General features: G+C 40.2%; 2 long non-coding RNA genes across 2 annotated transcripts in view; one reads left to right on the top strand and one right to left on the bottom strand.

Moving 5' to 3' along the window:
* LOC102724465 (uncharacterized) overlaps positions 1–17,727 on the bottom strand; it is a 379,687-nt gene that overhangs the window by 242,577 nt on the left and 119,383 nt on the right. The window lies entirely within an intron of this gene.
* LINC00052 (long intergenic non-protein coding RNA 52) lies at positions 10,184–12,941 on the top strand. The gene is made up of 3 exons (NR_026869.1): positions 10,184–10,302; positions 10,965–11,019; positions 11,330–12,941. It is a non-coding gene; the product is annotated as a long intergenic non-protein coding RNA 52 (long non-coding RNA).

Raw genomic sequence — 17,727 nt, forward strand, 5'->3', positions numbered from 1 at the left:
AATCATGTCTCGGTCTCTCTTGTGCTCACTCATTCTCCGATAAAAAGATTTATGGAATCACTTTGATTCTTAGAGTCCTTTCAAGATTGGTAAGCTTGATTGTAAACCTGCTCTTTAGCAAGAGAGGGTCATGTGATGAAAAAAATAACATTCTCCCTTCAGTCCACTTTTCCTCCCTGTCCAGCTTTAGGTGTGGCACCTCTCGAATAAAAATTAGAGGCATTGTCTGCTGTCCAGCAAGCAGACTGAGTGTGGGCAGGAGTTCTGGACCCTAGGAGAATTTCCATGCTATGATCAGGCTGAGTAAGTCCACATTTCTGGATACAGAAGATTAGGAGGAATTGGAAAGGCCCCTGAATAGGACAGCACGTGTCTCAGTTGAGGAGGAAAGCATTCACAGGGAGAACAGCAGCCAGTTATTGCTGCAAGGTGGGTCAGCCCTAGAGAGCCTCACTTTATCTTATTTACAGAAAAAGAAAGTGTGCAGCTTTTATTTATTTCTAAGTAAATTCCAATGAATGGCTGATACTCATTCAGACTTGCAAAGAGAGGATCTCAGATCTGCCACTGGAATCAGCTTTGTGTTCTGGGCTCATTTTCCCAAGATATTCAACACAAGCTAAAACTCACAGCAGCCACCTGCAAGTTCTGCAAGGGCTGGGCCCAGCCTGGCTCATTCTAGAGGGATGAAATCAGGCTCTGTGACATGCTCATTTCAAGCTCCTTACAATAAAAAAATAAATAAAAATCAAGCATCCTCTCTCCCTGAACTCCTCCAGCTAAAAGGCAGCTAACACTTCTGCAAGACCACATGTCATCCAGATGTGGAGTCTCTTTCTAAGCTGCAATGGCCGGCTCAGTAAATGGCAGAAAATCAGGAAGAGTTGCAAGAAGTCACCCCAGGGAGGGGAAAGAATGTTCCATGGAGAGGGATGGAGTGTTGGGGCTCGGCACAAGGAGAGGGCTCAACATCAGCAAGAACTGTTGAGTGGTTTGACTTTGCTTCCTCTGAGAACTGCTTCCAAGGCACATCACAGCTGGTGAGACCCTCTGGGTATTGGCTCCATATGCTATTTACCACTATGCAGTCTTGGCAGACTTGGAGTTTCTCACATGCATGCTGCCTTCAAGTACTTGAAGTAGATTCAAGTTGAATAAGAATTCAGCCAGAAGTCAGACCAGAACGCATGGGTGAGAGCTATGGAGAGGAGAACTTGGGCTCACTTGAAGTGACTTATTTGCCCACAAAGGGTTAACCAGAGAGTCATGTTGGCTAAGGAGGAAGAGCAGCATTGTCTTGTAATCAGAGTATAATTTTTAAAAAACTTTCTTTACACTGTCGTGTCTACCTCTTATTGACAACACCGGTTTGCAAAACTGGTTGCTGGGAAAAAGGTGAATTAATTCTCATAAAGAGTTCAGCACCTTCTTGGAGGAGAGGATCCATTATCCCACACTTCTTCCTGGAATTTGAAGCAAGAATACACATTGGAGTGGACCATGCAGATAATAGAAAAAGGACTCCAAAAATACTATGCTGAGAAAGAGAGTCTAGGCTGGTGATCTAGGTTCAAGGCAAGGTCCTCAAAATAGGTGGAAAATGCTGTTGCTGGCAGCTGTGACTATTGTTGAAAGGTACTAGACAGAACCCTCAGAACCCAACTGGGCACACCCCTGTGCTCTGGAATCAATGTTTTCACATGGGATTGCATCTGAAAAGAAGTGAAGTAGGAAGCACCCTAGAAAAAGGAATGGTCTTCACAAAGACTGTGTCCTGGAGCCAAGACGTTTTTTGAAACCGTATTAATAATTTAAGCTTTTCAAAATGTTAGAACAATTGTGCCAGTTTATAAGCGCTAACACACATTGGGCTCTTCCCAAGAATGGCAACATAGTTTGCAGGAACCAGTGAAAAAAGGAAAATGCAGGGCCCCTTGTTCAAAAATTATTAAGCATTTTAGAGACAAAGACAGCAGAGCACTAAACAAAACCAAATACAGTGCCTTTCTGTGTGACTGGCACTGATTCAGATACTATTCCAAGTGGTTCTCATGCAATAGGCAACTAAAACTACCCAAAACATCCCTAGGAGGTGAGAGCTATTATTATCTCTAATTCAAAATGAAACCCAGAGGCACTTGCCAAGGGATATCAGTCAATAGACGGTGGAGCCCAGATTGGCACTTGTACAATCCATCCTCCAGAGCAGCACTCCAACTCTTAATCCCTGAACCCATGGACCCTGAGAGAGACGAGGAGCCACCCAATCAAAGACATTATACGTAAGAACAGAATGAGCCCACCCTAAAAAGAATAATGTTCCTGTCTCTGGAGGTATCCAAAGTGAAGCTGGGAAGCCAGTCTCAGAAATTTAAAAGAGGTGATGCATTTTCTGGGAAATAAATAATGTAAGGAAAAGTGGAGTCCATTATTTATTGAATGAACCATAGCCACGATTGAGACTTTACTGTGCATTAAGAGTCATGCAGTCAGTGTGAAAAATTAAGATTCTTGGTACATGGAGACGAGGGAATCTGAATCTTTAACATCTACAGATTCTGATTTGGTTGGCCAACAGGTCAGGGTTAGAGAAATAGTCACATCTGTAAGAGGTAATTTTCAATTTCTCTTCCAATTCTAAGTTTTTTGTTTTCCTTTATTTCTGTGAAATGATTGCATGTTGAAAACACCACTGCTGTTTGTCTCTCTCTCTCTCTCTCTCTCTCTCTGTCTCTCTCTGCCTCATTTTTTTTTTATTATACTTTAAGTTCTAGGGTACATGTGCACAACGTGCAGGTTTGTTACATATGTATACATGCACCATGTTGGTGTGCTGCACCCCTTAACTCATCATTTACATTAGGTATATCTATTTATCTCTTCTCCCTTTTGTCCAGATCACGCAATCCATCCCCACCACCAAGCAAGGGTCTGCTTTTCTACTCTTTATCATCACGCACTTTGTCTTAGTTCCAGCTGCTGTAATAGAATACTATGCACTGGGCAGCTTCAACAACAAACATTTATTACTCACAGTTCTGGAACCTGAGAAAATTAAGGTGCTAGCAGTTCCAGTTTCTGGTGGGAACACTCTTCCTGGTTTATGGATAGTGATCTTCCCTACTAATATTAGAGTTATGTATGTGTGCTCTGTCACCCTAAGTTGTGAATGCCTGGAAGGGGATCTCATATTCATCAGCTTTGCAAGGGTCTAGTTGTAGCCAGCGTTTTGAATATAAAAGAGGACCAATATAATTTTGTCCATATATACATCTGGATATTAACTTTGGGAGACAAGATGACCAGGTGAGCCCTACATTCTAAGATTTCCCATGACTAGTCTGGCAGTATGACCTTCAGAACAGCCACTATAGCAGTGTCTATAAATATGAAGTGAAAAGAGAGAAGAGAATTAGTTTTGCTGATAATTAAGCTCAGAAATACATGTGCATCAATTATTCAGTTTCCACAAGTCCTCATTAATAGAGGTTTCTCAAGTGCAGACAGAATAATAATTCACATGAGGACTGGCCTCAAGTTTATTTTTTCCCGTTCAGTAAAAGAAAAATAAAGTGGTAGGGAGGGGGGTCAATAGTAAGAGACTGGTTAAGCAAATTAAAAGTGAAAGTGAAACAACTGGCTATGCATAACAGAGTATTTACCATTTTAACAGGGCCCATAAAAGAAAGGCACGATCTACAAGTGACCTTACTCTAACTCTCATATTTGTATTTCATATATATCCAAAAAAAACAAAGGATCTGAGATAGTTGAGACCCAGAAGCCTATAATTTATCTTCATTTGCCACTGGCTCAAATTGCTGCAATTAATAGTAGACATTAATTTTTTCACTGATTTGTATTTTTTTTTTTTTTTTTTTTTTTTTTTTTTTTGAGATGGAGTCTCTCTCCATCAACCAGGCTGGAGTGCAGTGGCGCGATCTCGGCTCACTGCAACCTCTGCCTACCAGGTTCAAGCGATTCTCCCGCCTCAGCCTCCCGAGTAGCTGGGATTACAGGCGTCCAACACCGCACCCGGCTAATTTTTGTATTTTTAGTAGAGATGGGGTTTCACCATGTTGGCCAGGATAGTTTCCAACTCCTGACCACAGGTGATCTGCTCACCTCGGCCTCCCAAAGTGCTGGGATTACAGGCGTGAGTCACTGCGCCCAGGCTGATTTGTACATTTTTAAAAGACAGCTCAATAACTGAGGTTTTATTGTGTTTTTATAATACATTCTTGGGGATCTGGGTTACACAAGTTTACATTCATCTCACTCCTTCATTTTATGAGTTATCCATTTAAGCTTAGGTCTTCCTATAAATTATTTTTAAAAAGGAATTGTCTGATTCCCTTACAAATCTGGTTGGGTAGGAGACTATGACTGTACTTAGTAGAAATGTGTATAGTCTACGATGCTACATTCTGGTGGAGACATCGGAAAAGATAACTCTCACATCCTTATATATTGGTAAAAGCACCGAGTAAAGAAATTTGGCAATGTCTGCCCAAATCTAATTCAAAGTCTGCATAGTCTAAGACTCAGCAATTCCTCCTCTAGTTATTTCCTAGGAGGAACCCTTGCACGGGTACACATGTGGGATACGTGAATAGCCGTAGTCACTAAGCATTGCAGCAATCAGTGAAGTCTTGGTTACAACACAGAGGACCTGGACAGGGCAATGCCACGCTCAGATGAAGGAATACTCTACAGCAGCTAAAAGGAATGGATTTGACCTACATGAGGTAAACAAAGATAGGCCTTAAAAACATAATGTTCCAAGAAAAAGGCAAGTTGAGGAACAGTAGTTAACACAGTTAAATGATTGGGTAAGGAACACCATTAGTGTACATTAGAAAAAATTTTTAAAACACTTTAGAAAACAAATGATACATTGCTTATGGAGATGTATACAACATATAGGAGGTAAGCATGTAAAAGCATGACTAACCCAAATATACTGCACATCAGCTTCAAGGTAATGGTTGCTGCTGGGGAGAGGGAGAGGAGAACGAAAGTGGAGAAGAGAAGGCTTCTGTCGCACCTGCCATGCTTTATTTGAAAAATTAGGCAAATGAATAAATGAAACTTATCCTTGACATGTGGTATAGAAAGTAATTCTTTCAAACTCTGAACATGGTTCAAGCTTCTTAATTGGAAACAGACTGTAGGTAGCAAAAGTTACCTCCATGAACCCTACTTTTCTAAGCTTATTACTGAAGCTTGTGGTCGAGATTGGTGATTCCTTGTAAAATTTCAGAGAGCTGATGATAGAGCACCTTTGCTTCAGGATGTTAGGGACATAATTGGGAAGGAGGGCTAGGGGAGTGGTGTGAATGAGGGCAAATTGGGGCAAAAAGGAGTATTTATTGAATATCTTGTCTGAAAAATGATTTATAAGATTTAGGGAAATAATGCAACTGCATAATTGAGCAATGCATGTAAATGCAATCAAAATGCATCCATGTGAGTGTGTGTTATATGTGCTCGCATGCGCGCACGTGCACGTGCGCACACACACACACACACACACACACACACAGACCACAAACCTGTCCAAAAGCACTAAGACAGAAATCCAAAAAAGCAGAAGAAACTTTTTCTCCTGACTTTTGATCCAGGCTAACTGAAGCATCCCTAAAGAAATCAACCCAAACCACACCCAGATTCCAGGGCCTTCAGACTGGTATGCAACTGCATGGTAAATAGCCAGAGACATAAAATATTTGCTGATTGTCTTCCAGCCTCTGCTACGGGACACTGGGTAGCAAAGACCCCAAACAATGTCTGCAAGTTGGGAATTTAATCTAAATATGAAGCCTGTCTACAAGAGAATCGCCTGGGGAATGTGTTCTGTTCAGCAGGCAGATTCCAAAGCCCTACCCCAGAATTCCTAAGGCAGACACTTTAGGGTGGCGCTGGAGACTCACTTGGTTGACAAGCTCCCCGGTGACACTGATGCATACTAAAGCTTGAACACCGCTGCATATCACAATCGTGAGCCAATGGTATCAGGAGGCACAGCCTTCCAGAAAGGACGTGTGATATCTCCTTAAATATACAGTGAAGGCTAACTGGAGCCACAGTCTCAGGATATATTAATAATGAGTGACGTTTCCTTAGTCATTTCATCAAGGGGAGGGTGGCCTTGGAACTGTAGATGTGTTCTCATAGACACTCCTTTGGGTCTTTACTTACTAAACAATACTGGACTGGGCAAGGCTCTGAGGACATAAAGGGAATTATCTGGCCAGTGGCACTGGAAGACAGAAAATGAAATTCTCACTAAGTCTGAAGGCTGGTCAGAGGCCAGGCCGGAGCACACCACCCACGCAGGACCAGGAGGGCCTTACCTCCTGCCCTCCCCACAGCCTCCTGGCATTCTCTGAAAGGTTTTCCCTGCACAGCAGTCCCTCCATTATGAGCCCTGGGACTCAAGAAGCTACAAAGCGATAAATCAATTATGAAATGGAAACCTCGATTACAGCCTGTCTGCTTAATTGTTTGACAAGTTAATTAATCTCCCAAGCAACTGGGCTCCATTCTCCCTGTAAATTGTGGGGAAATCGCAATAGCAGGTCCCTGAGGTCTTGGCAGTACAGTATCAATGAGGCTCCGGGAAAACTATGAATAATAAGCATTTAGTGGGGTCAGTGCCTCACCATAGGAATGAAGAGGTTTGCTCCAGCTCCTGCCTGGAGGCAGTTTTGTCACTAATTATTTTGCTACTAACTAATTACAATCTGTACTTGTCTGTGTATTTATTTATTTGTTTTCATTTTCTTTCCAAGAGACACATTTCTTTCCTTTCAAATAATATCATGTGATTCCAGCAGCCAACGCTTCCAGATTGTTAAAAACACCAAGGTGGTGTCAGTCCCTCCCTCCCAGGAGGCTGGACTATTGTAGCTGCCATGATAAATGAGGCTGAACCTTCTGAGTGATGAAGATGGATATGTGTTATGGGTCTATCTGTCTGGCTGCATGAGGTGGCTGCTACTGTCTGAGACTTGTGATGATGTCATACTCTCCTGTCATCAGTGTTCAAGCTTTAGAAATTCCAAATGATGAAGAGAAATTGAGAAACCAAAGCATGTCCATGTAGTCCAAGAGTTCTGTGCATTAGACTCACTTGGAGATCTTGTTAAAAACTGAAAGGACAAGTCCAAATAGATAGATAGATCTCTCTCTCTATATATATATGTGTGTGCATGTGTATATATAGGTCTGTCTCTATAGAGATACCTATCTACAGAGAGATATATATCTGTAGAGATATCTATAAAGACATATCTATATATAATCTACATATAGATATATATAGATAGCGCTCTCTATAGATAGATATATAGAGAGCAATATCTAACTACCTACCTACCTACCTCTGAGAGACAGAGTGTGTGTAATACATCACAACGACATAGAGTTCATCTCAGGAATGCAAGGCTAAATCAGTATTCTAAAACCCATCAATGTAATCCACCATCTGAATACTTTAAAAAATATAAGCCACATGATCATATCATTTGATGCTGAAAAAGCATAACATTGTTGATAAAATTCAATGTTCACTCATGAAAAAATCTCTAACCAAATTAGCAATAGAAGGAAACTTCCTCAACCCAGTAAAATATATTTACACAAAACTTATAACTCTTCATACTTAACGGTGAAAGACAAAATACTTTCTAAGATTTAGGAAAAGAAAAGAATTTCTAAATTCACTGCTCCTATTCAACACAGTAGTAACATTTGTAGCCAATGCAATATGGCAAAAATAAAATAAAATAAAATAAAATAAAATGCATACAGATTGGAAAGGAATGAATAAAACTGTCCCTATTTTAATCTGACATTTGCCAATGCAGAAAATTCAAAGGGATCTCAAAAAAATCTCTCAAAACTAATAAGTGAGTTTATTAAGGTCACAGGTTACAGGGTCAGCAAACAAAAATCAATCATGATCCTGTATACCGGCAATATAGAATTGGAAACCAAAACTTAAAAAAAAATAGTTTCAGAAAATAAAACGTTTTCTACAATATTCCAGAAAAAATGAAACAAGACATATACAAGATCCATATCATAAAAATGACAAAACACTGCTGAGAAAAATCAAAGAAAATCTAAATGAATGGAGAGTTATGCCATGTTCACTGACTGGAAAACTCAAAATAGTAAATATGCTAATTCTTTGCAAATTAATCTATAGGTTTAATGCAATCTCTGTCAAAATTCTAGCAAAATATCTTTGTGGATATAGAGAAGAAAATTTACATGGAAGGCAAAAATCTACTATAGCTAAAACAATTTTGAAAAAAAGAATAAAGTTGGAGAAATTATATCATCCAATTTTAAGACGTAATGTAAAGCTACAGTAATCAAGCGAGTATGGTATCGGCAAAGGGATAGGCATCCAGACCAATGGAATGGAATAGAGAATATAGGAATATATCTATGCAAATATAACTAATTTATTTTTGGCAAAGATGCAAAAGGATTTCAATAGAGAGATAATAGTTTCTTCTTTGTTGATTTGTTTTTCAACAAATGAACTGCAACAGTTGCACACTGTATGCAAAAAGGTCTTTTTTAAATGCCCTTCAACCTAAACTTCATGCCTTAAATAGATCATTCATCAAAAAACAAAACATAAATGTATAAAACTTTCAGAGGAAACACAAGGGAAACCTTCATGACCTGAGGTTAGGCAAAGAGTTCTTAGATATGACACAAAAAGCACAATCTGTTAAAGAAAAAATAGTTATTATCAAAATTTTTCAAATCCTGCTCTGTGAAAGACAGTGTTAAGATAATTAGAAGAAAAACCACAGACTTGCAGCAAATATTTGCAAATTGTGTATTGGACAAAGAGCTTGTAACTAGAATACATAAAGAACTCTGAAAACTCAGTGCACATTTTTTAATGGGTAAAAGACAAACACGGACTGCTTCAAAGATTACTTAAGGATGACATAAGGACATAAAAATATTTTCTACATCTTTAACCATAAGGAAAATGCCAATTAAAATTACAAGATGCCCCTGCATACCTACTAGAATTGTTAATATAAAAATAAAATATCAAGATCTGGGGAGGATATGGAGCAACTAGAATTCTCATACCTTGCTGCTGTGAATGAAAAATAGTATAGTCAGTCTGAAAATCAGTTTATCTGTTTCTTATAAAGTAAAACACACAATTACCATATGACTCTAGAGAAAAGAAAAAGCTTGTATTCATACACACAAAAGAATCTTGTGCCAGATATCTATAGAAGCTCTATTCATAAGCACCCCAAATTGGAAACCATCCAAATGCCCTTCAGTGAATGAATGGTTAAACAAATGCTATGCATTCCTGCAATGGAATACTACTTAGCAATAAAAGGGAACAAATCATTCATACTTGGATGACCCTCAAAGACTGAATGTAAAAATTCAGTCTCAAAAGATTATAGACATTGTGATCACATTTATATGACATCCTCGAACAAACACAACTACAGTGACGGAGAACATACCAGTGGTTGCCTGGGGCTGGGTTTGGGGGAGTGTGCGAGTACAAGGGGATAGCACAAAGAAATTTTTTTGAGGTGATGGAACTATATTCTGACTGTGGAGGTGGTTACCCAAATCTATACATGTGTTAAAATTTTTGGAATATACACTAAAAAAGCCCATTTTCCTGTATAGTTATTTACACACCAAATTTTTTAATCTATATAGGAAATAGTAGAAAAAGAAAAAGCTAAGTCAGAAAGAGGAAAGAAAACTGCATGTGCAATGTCTTGGGTTCTTTCTTGGCAGCACTGGAAAATTAATAACTCTTCCTCAGTTCTCAGCACCTGGCCCGGCACCTGGTTGTGGCAATCTAGCTTCTGTTCTGGCTTCTCACATTGGAGACACCTGGATCAGAGACTTCAGACCATCTGGACAAAGGCTTTCTATTGGGCTCCACCCAGTTTCACCTATAATTTGAATATGTGTCCCCTCTAAAACTCATTCTGAAATTTAATCCTCAGTGTGTCAGCATCAAGAAATGGAGCCTTTAAGAGGTAATTGTGTCAATGAGGGTTCTGCTCTCATTAATAGATTCATAGATTAATGAATTAGTGGTTCATCATGAGTGTGAGGTTGGTGACTTTCTAGGAAGAGGAAGAGAGATTTGAGTCAGGCCACTCAGCTCTCTCACCATGCGATTGCCCTGCAACACCTTGGAACTCTGCAGAGAGTCCCCAGCAGGAAGGTCTCACCTGAGGTGAACCTTCGACCTTGGACTTCTCAGCCTCCAGAATGGTAAGACATAAATGTTGTTCTTTATATATTGCCCAGTTTTAGATACTCTGTAACAGAGTGTTAGGCAACAGAAAATGAAGACAGCTTTTTACCCTCACTGTCCATTAGCCTTCAAGGTTTGCTTTGCTGATCTTCCCATCTATAAACTAAATCCTAAATCAAAGACCAATAGTGATCAGCCCTAGTAGAATATTAGAATGACAGGTGATATTTAAAAATATCAGTACCTTACGGTTTCATCTCTTTGAATGAGCCCTTGGTGCCCTCATTTTTTAAGCCTTTCCCAGGAAAGCCTAACGTGAAAACGACTATGAAACAATGAAGATGATCTAGGTTGCTTCTCTGAGGTTTAGTAGAAACCCTCAGACTATGACCTCCAAAGTGCTGATGGGTGATGAACACTAGGCACAAAGAAAGGCTGCAGATCTAGTTCAGCTCTAAGCCCGCCTGAGGCAAGGACTGTGGATCCAGGGACTGGAGGAGGCAGAGGAGGCAAGGTTTCACAAAGTTTCATGGGTGGTGCAGGGCATGCTCCTCTCTGGTTTCAGAGGTCATGGGGTGGGGGGGAAATAAAGAACATATTTGCAATAACTGAACAATTCTTTATGATCTGAGACTTTCCATGTGCTCTTTCTCACTGAATCCTTACAACATTCCTGTAGAAGAATGGCAACCATCAAATCAAGAAATTGGCCCAAAGCCCTACAGTCTGCAAACGTAAGTGATAAAACTAGGATTTTAGCAGCTAATAGTCTTAACCACTCCTCATTCTGAATCCAGTGAAAGTAACACAGGATTTATAATTACATGGATTTGGAATCAAATTGTCTTTCTAGCACTTACTAGGTAGATGACTGTGGGCAATTAAATCTGATTTCTCTGAGCCTCAGTTTCCTAATCTGAGAAAATGGGGATAATAACTGTCATTTAGAAAAAAAATAAATAAAAGAGTTACACAATAGAAATGTCATTCAATAAGTGATTCCTCCTGCCTCATGTTCTAAGACATAATCCTGCCTTCCCACAGATCATAACAATTCATCCTGAAGTTTCTCCATGAATTGTGATGCTTTGCTACATCATTCTGCAATCCCAGAAGATTTTTTGCATATTTTTTTGCTATTACAGAAAAATCTCAGTCTCCCTCCCTCTCTCTCTCTCTCAATCTGTGTGTCTCTTTTACTCCATATCTCTGTGTGTGTCTCTTTTACTCCATATCTCTCTGTGTGTGTCTGTTTATGTCTCTCTCTCTCTCTCATCCTTCCCATGTTTCTCTCTCACACACACACACACTCATTCACAGCTTTCAAAAGACACGTCTGTCCTTACCTTCACTTTTTGTTTTAAACAGCACACTCACTTTACTCTGAACTATACCTCACATGCACACGAGCTTTCTGCTCCATCTGTTCATCCCACATGTGTCTTCACATTCAAAGCAGCACCTTCCCCAAGACCAGCTACCTAACCACCTCCCACCTCCACCCCATCCCTAGTCAGAGGAAGGCCTGGTTCCCACCTGAATTCAGCTTTGTCAAAGAGCCTCCTGGAAAGCTGTCATCTTCAGTTAGTAGGGATAATGGGATTATTCTATCTGTGTAATAATAACATGTTCAATTTAAAGAAAAAAATCTGAAGCCACTTAAAAGCTACTGTTTGGCACCGATACATTATTCCAGTAATGAATAATCATTAAAGATATTATTCTGGATGCAGTTACCATGCAGTGATGTGAATAAAATGCATTAGATGGAAAATTGTATTTCAAGTAAATATATGCACTGGTAGAAATGTATTACCACCCACTAATATGTATTAATTCAAAACCAAATGCCAACTGGAGTTCGCCTACACGGGTTTGAATGGCAGGCAGTGATTTGGAAGTGGGAGGAAATAGGTTTGGATTTGGTCAAATAGACTGAGAAGTGATAGTGGGGGCGGGGGTTTATGACTCAAACTTTAACAGGTGAGAAGACTATGCCATGGACAGAACAGGCATGAGGGGCTCCCCTCCTACGCCTCTTTAAGAGATTTTTATCTCTGACTAAGGATTACTGGTAGTTGTTGACATTTCTGAAGCAGTGGATCTTTTTCCTTTTTCACTATCTGCATCTTCAAATATTCTTTTCTGAAGAAAGTTAAAAGGAAGCCTGTACATTTTTTGCTAAGGTAAATGCCTTGCCATCTTATTTCATTTTCTCATTTTTTTCTTCAGTGCACAACATAAGCAACTGTCCTCCTTGTCATACTCAAGATGAGCTTGGCATATCTGAAATCTGCAGGGATTTTCTCATTAGCACAGGGTTCCAAGCCCAAACCGTGAAGATGGAGTTTTCATTTTTAAATGGCACATCTTCAAGTTCTTGCCCTGTCCTCACTTTAGTATGCCCCAGAGGAAGTCAAAGATATGGACACTCTAAGACTCAGAAGAACTTTCTCAGGCATTCATTTTCCTATCTATTTTGAGCCATTTTATTTAAAAGGTTACAATTTTAAACCTCTCTTTAATTAAAAGATACCAGAGTTACAATGCAATACTATTTGGCAATCAAAACTAATGAAGCACAGATGCATGCTACAACACGAATGAACTTTGAAACGTTGTGTTAAGTGAAATAAACCAGTTATTATACAAGGCCACATACTGTATGATTCCATTTGTATAAAATGTCCAAACTAAGCAAATCTGTAGAGACAGAAATCAGATTGGTGGTTGTCTAGAGCTGGCGGGGGGAGGGATGGGGATTGTTCGAGGCAAATGGGGAGTGACTCACAAAGAGTACCAGTTTCTTTTTAGGGCAATAAAATCTTTTAAATTGATTGTGGTGACGATCACGTCTATGGGTATACAAAAAATCACGGAATTGTACAATGTAAACGGGTGAATCGTATGGCACATGAATTATATCTCAATAAAGTTTTTACCAAAAAAAGACACCAGAGAAAGAATGAAAACACAAAATACTATTTTGCAACATACATCATCAGTAAAGAACTAGCATCCAGAATATATAAAGAATAGCCAATAGGCTGGGCGTGCTGGCTCACGCCTGTAATCCCAGCACTTTGGGAGGCCAAGGTGGATGAATCACGAGGTCAGGAGTTTGAGACCAGCCTGGCCAACATGGAGAAACCCCGTCTCCACTAAAAATACAAAAAATTAGCTGGGCGTGGTAGCAGGTGCCTGTAATCCCAGCTACTTGAGAGGCTAAGGCAGGAGAATCACTTGAACCCAGGAGGCGGAGGTTGCAGTGAGCCGAGATCGTGCCATTGCATTCCAGCCTGGGCAACAGAGCAAGACTCCATCTCAAAAAAAGGAAAAAAAAAGAATAGCCAATAAATCAACATAAAGACAGAAAACTAATAGAAAACTGACTACCAGTGGATCAGGACTCTCACAAAAAGAGAAACTCCAGTGGCCAATTAAAAAAATAAAGATTAGAAAATGAAAAAGCTACAATAAAACAGCTTTGTACATTCATTGGATGACAAAAAAATAATAATTCATTAACATTAAGTGGGACACAGTTATGGAACAAGAGAAATTCTCATACACTGCTGATGGAAACAGAAATTAGTAAAATCACTTTTGAAAACATTTTGTCAGTATCTCCTAATGCTGAAGGTATGGAGGCCCTGATGATACAGTGATTCCACCCTTAGGCACATAGCTAGAGAAACACATATATACGTGCACAAAGGCAAAATAAATTAGCACTAGAACTGCATAATAAGGAAGAAAATTTGGAACAGGAGAAAGAGCACTGGAATGAGAGCCCCAACTTTGGATTTTAGATTTTTTAGTAGGTACTGGACATGGGGTGCTCATGCATCCTTGAATTTGGGGAGAGGCTCCAATGTCACTCAGGGATGGCCTCGGAATTTAAGAAGTGGGCTGCATGCACAGTCCACAATGGCCTAGTGTTGTGGGCCCACAATGGATATCATGCTGTGACCCATGGTGAAGGAAAGCATGGTCTAAAGAAAAGGTTATGGCATGGCCCCATGGTATCTATTTTGTGGCTGGGCCATTGTGTTCCTTGGAATATGCAGACATGGGGGTGCAGGTCAGTGACATTGGAACCATGTAGCATTCACATGAAACATTCCTAGCATGTGAGTTAATTATGAATGACCCCTTTAACATTTAAAAGTTCAACATTAGGTCTTTTTCTACCCAAGCAAGGTGACGGCAGCAAATTAAGTGCCTGCTGAATGTTATTCTCATAAACAGCTTCTCAAGGAAAGGTCAAAAGGAGTCTTTTCCTTTTATTAACCTGAATTCCTTGGTACAAATTGGAGTTGCTTATTCTATCTGTCCTCAGGTATGCCTGAATCTCTTAAGTATTTTACAGTTTCCATAAAGAGTACATTGATCTTATTACTCTTAAAACCCAGCCATTTTCAGAATAAAATATATGCAGATCATATAATAATACTGTACAATTAATTCAGGGGAGATACAGTGAAGAAATATTTGTTGGGCTGAAGCCAGAGTAAGACCACCAAGAAGGTGAGATTACTGTAGCTCAAGATACCACTTACTTTCAGAGGAAAAAAAATGATTGCTTATTTGGTTAAATACTATAAATATTCTTGATGAGAGGGAGAGAGACTTATTCTAGTGGCCTAGAGCTCAAGGAGAAAAGAGGAAGCTGTGTTGTAGGGGTGGGTGAAACACAGTAGTGGATGCAGCTAAGCTAACATGCATCAAGAATGAGTATAAGGTGGAAGAATGGGGACTTCAGTGCTGAGGCAGATTAACCCAATGTGGGAGAGTAAATCACAGCAAAAACAGCAACAGGTAACACACAGCACTGTCTATGCACCAAGCAGCAATCTAAGTTATGTGCAAGATATTCATTGAATTCTCACAAGCAGCATTTGATATAGATACTATTATTGTGTCTATTTTATAAAGGAGAAAACTGGGCTAAGAAAGGGAAAGTAATTTGCCCACTATTGTGCAGCTCATAAGTGGCAGCACCAAGCTTCAAATCATGACAATCTGGCTTGAGAGTCCCTAGCCTTAATCACATTTTCCTGGGAATTATGAAACTAGGAAATCCAAAGGCCTCAGGGAAGTTGTCATATTAGGTTAGTATGCTTGACAATCTTCTCCCCAATGTTCCAATGCTAACTTTGTTATTTATAAGATATGTGGCCTTAGGCAACTTCCCTGGGCCCGTTTTCTCATGTGCAACTAAAGGCAGAGACAATGAGTGGACTCTGAAGGATCTATGCCCCTTTCCAGTGCAGAATTATTGCTGAGAAGTAACTTCTATGCCAGGGACTACATTTCCCAGCCTGCCTTGCATCTAGATGGCATCACGTGACTGGTTCTCGCAAGTGGAATATAAGTAGAAGTGATGTGGCTAACTTCCAGGCCAAAATGCAAGAGCATCTGTATGTGTTCCACATACTCTCTTCTTCTTTGGCAATCTTGGAGGTCATGTGGTACCAAGGGAGATGGTGTCCCAAGACTGAAGAGGGATGGATCCCTGAGTCACCATTTGAAAGGTGCCCAGGAGTGCCACCCTGGTACATATGCATTGCACACTGCATGAGAGAGCAATAAATATTTATTAAGGCCCTAAAATTGGAGGGGTTTTTTTTTTTTTTTGGATGTAGCCCTTAGCCTGATGAGGTTATTTTGGAATTTAAAAACTAAAACATAGGCAATGCACCTGTTTGGTGTCTGGCACTCAGGAGATACTCAAGCAATGCAAAGAGACAAACTAGATCTAGACAGCCATGGGAAAAGAACAACAGGTTGCCAAAAGGAAGCAGAAGCTGAAAGCAGTGCATGAACCCCAAGAATGCTACCTCTGGGAATCGGATCATTCAGGAAAAGACACCGGCTGCTCAACAGACTATGGCAGGGCAAGATCAGGAGACAAAAAGAATCCTGCCGGAAGCTGATTAGGCCAGACAGATTAGGGGAGGTAGAGGCACAACAGGGAACACTGGGCTGAGGCCAGTAGGAGATGCATTCAGAGAAAAGGAGGCACCATTGATATAAATAACACTCATGACTCATTCCAATTGTGCATTTCCCTGGACCTTCAGGTGATAAGAAAGAAGCTGAGGTGTCTACTCCCTGCCCCTTCTACTTTGCAAGAAAGAGAAGGCATGCAGCCTGTTAGGGTTCAGTGAAACCATGAAGATAGTTAAGGTCAAGATCAAATTGTACCCTCTCAGACCACTTATTAAAAACTCGGTGGTCATCTCAAGACTCAGAAAGCATCTCTAAGAGAAGGAAATAGTGCTGAACAAAGAAGTCAAAAAACCAGTTCAACATTTAACCCTTTCCAATGATGGGGCTATGTGTACTTGGTGCAACACCTTCCCTCACTAAACTTTAGTTTCTCTATCTGTAAAACCTGGGAAGTGAACAAAGACAAGGGACCCACGTTAAAATGTTTCCAGGAATCTGGCTAGTAATGCAAATGTTCAAAGTGCACCTAATATAGCGTGGGGAAGTGAAGCCTGGGGAAAAGTCACATCTTGTTTAGGAGAACTGCCTTATAAAAACAAATAGATGAGTAAATAAAAAGTAAATACTCTGAGTGTTGGATAAGTATGCTTGCCAGCTTCTAGACTACAACTTCCAGGAGAGACAGCCCCCTGAGAACCCTATCAGTTCTCACACAATTTTGAGGTTCTGCTGATTTGCTCTACTGTTTGCTCCTTAAAGAAATGTGAGTTTGGTATATCCCCCTTGATTCCTAGAGGGGACGAGTCCATTTCAATCAAAGGGACAATAAAAGAATTGCTTGGATATCTGTGTGTAAAAGAGGAGTCTGATTTTATTCCCCAAGAGTTGTGGTTGGTTCCCTTAGGAACCCTTAGGAAGCAGAGCAAGGATCTCAGTGTGTTCCAGATCTTCTGTGCCCCCGTCCAGTTATCCTGCTTACCCCTGTGAATACGGAAGAAGCAAGGGGAAAAGCAAAGGCAGGGCGCCAGACTTTAGAGCTTCTGTGAGCATATCAGGAAAAAGCAGGTCCTCTGGGCAAGTGCAATACCTTGTGGATATGGGGTCTCTTTGGCTGATACCTCCATGCAGCAAAGAAATTGCATAACCAAGTTCAGCAGCCCTAAAGGGATGGAAGGAGATATCTGCACAGAGAACCCTGAGGGAGATGGTGGTGGTGAATGGAGGGCAAGTCCATATCACTGATAACAGATTCCTGTCACTCTGGACAGGCCTGGGGATGGAAAAAAACTCAAAATGACAAGGCAACAGAAGCCACAGTGTCACCTCTGCCTACATAAGCATCCTAGTCTCCCTGTTATTGGCTCAGTTCGGTAACGGTTCTTAACAATGAATATACTTTTGGGTAACATTTTTTTTTTTCTGCAAGAGCTTGACATGGGTCCTATAACTCCTTAGGACAACAGCTGGCTCTGTGTCCCAATTAATAT

This window comes from Homo sapiens, chromosome 15 (genome assembly GCF_000001405.40).
Source record: "Homo sapiens chromosome 15, GRCh38.p14 Primary Assembly".
In the NCBI taxonomy this organism is placed as follows: domain Eukaryota; kingdom Metazoa; phylum Chordata; class Mammalia; order Primates; family Hominidae; genus Homo; species Homo sapiens.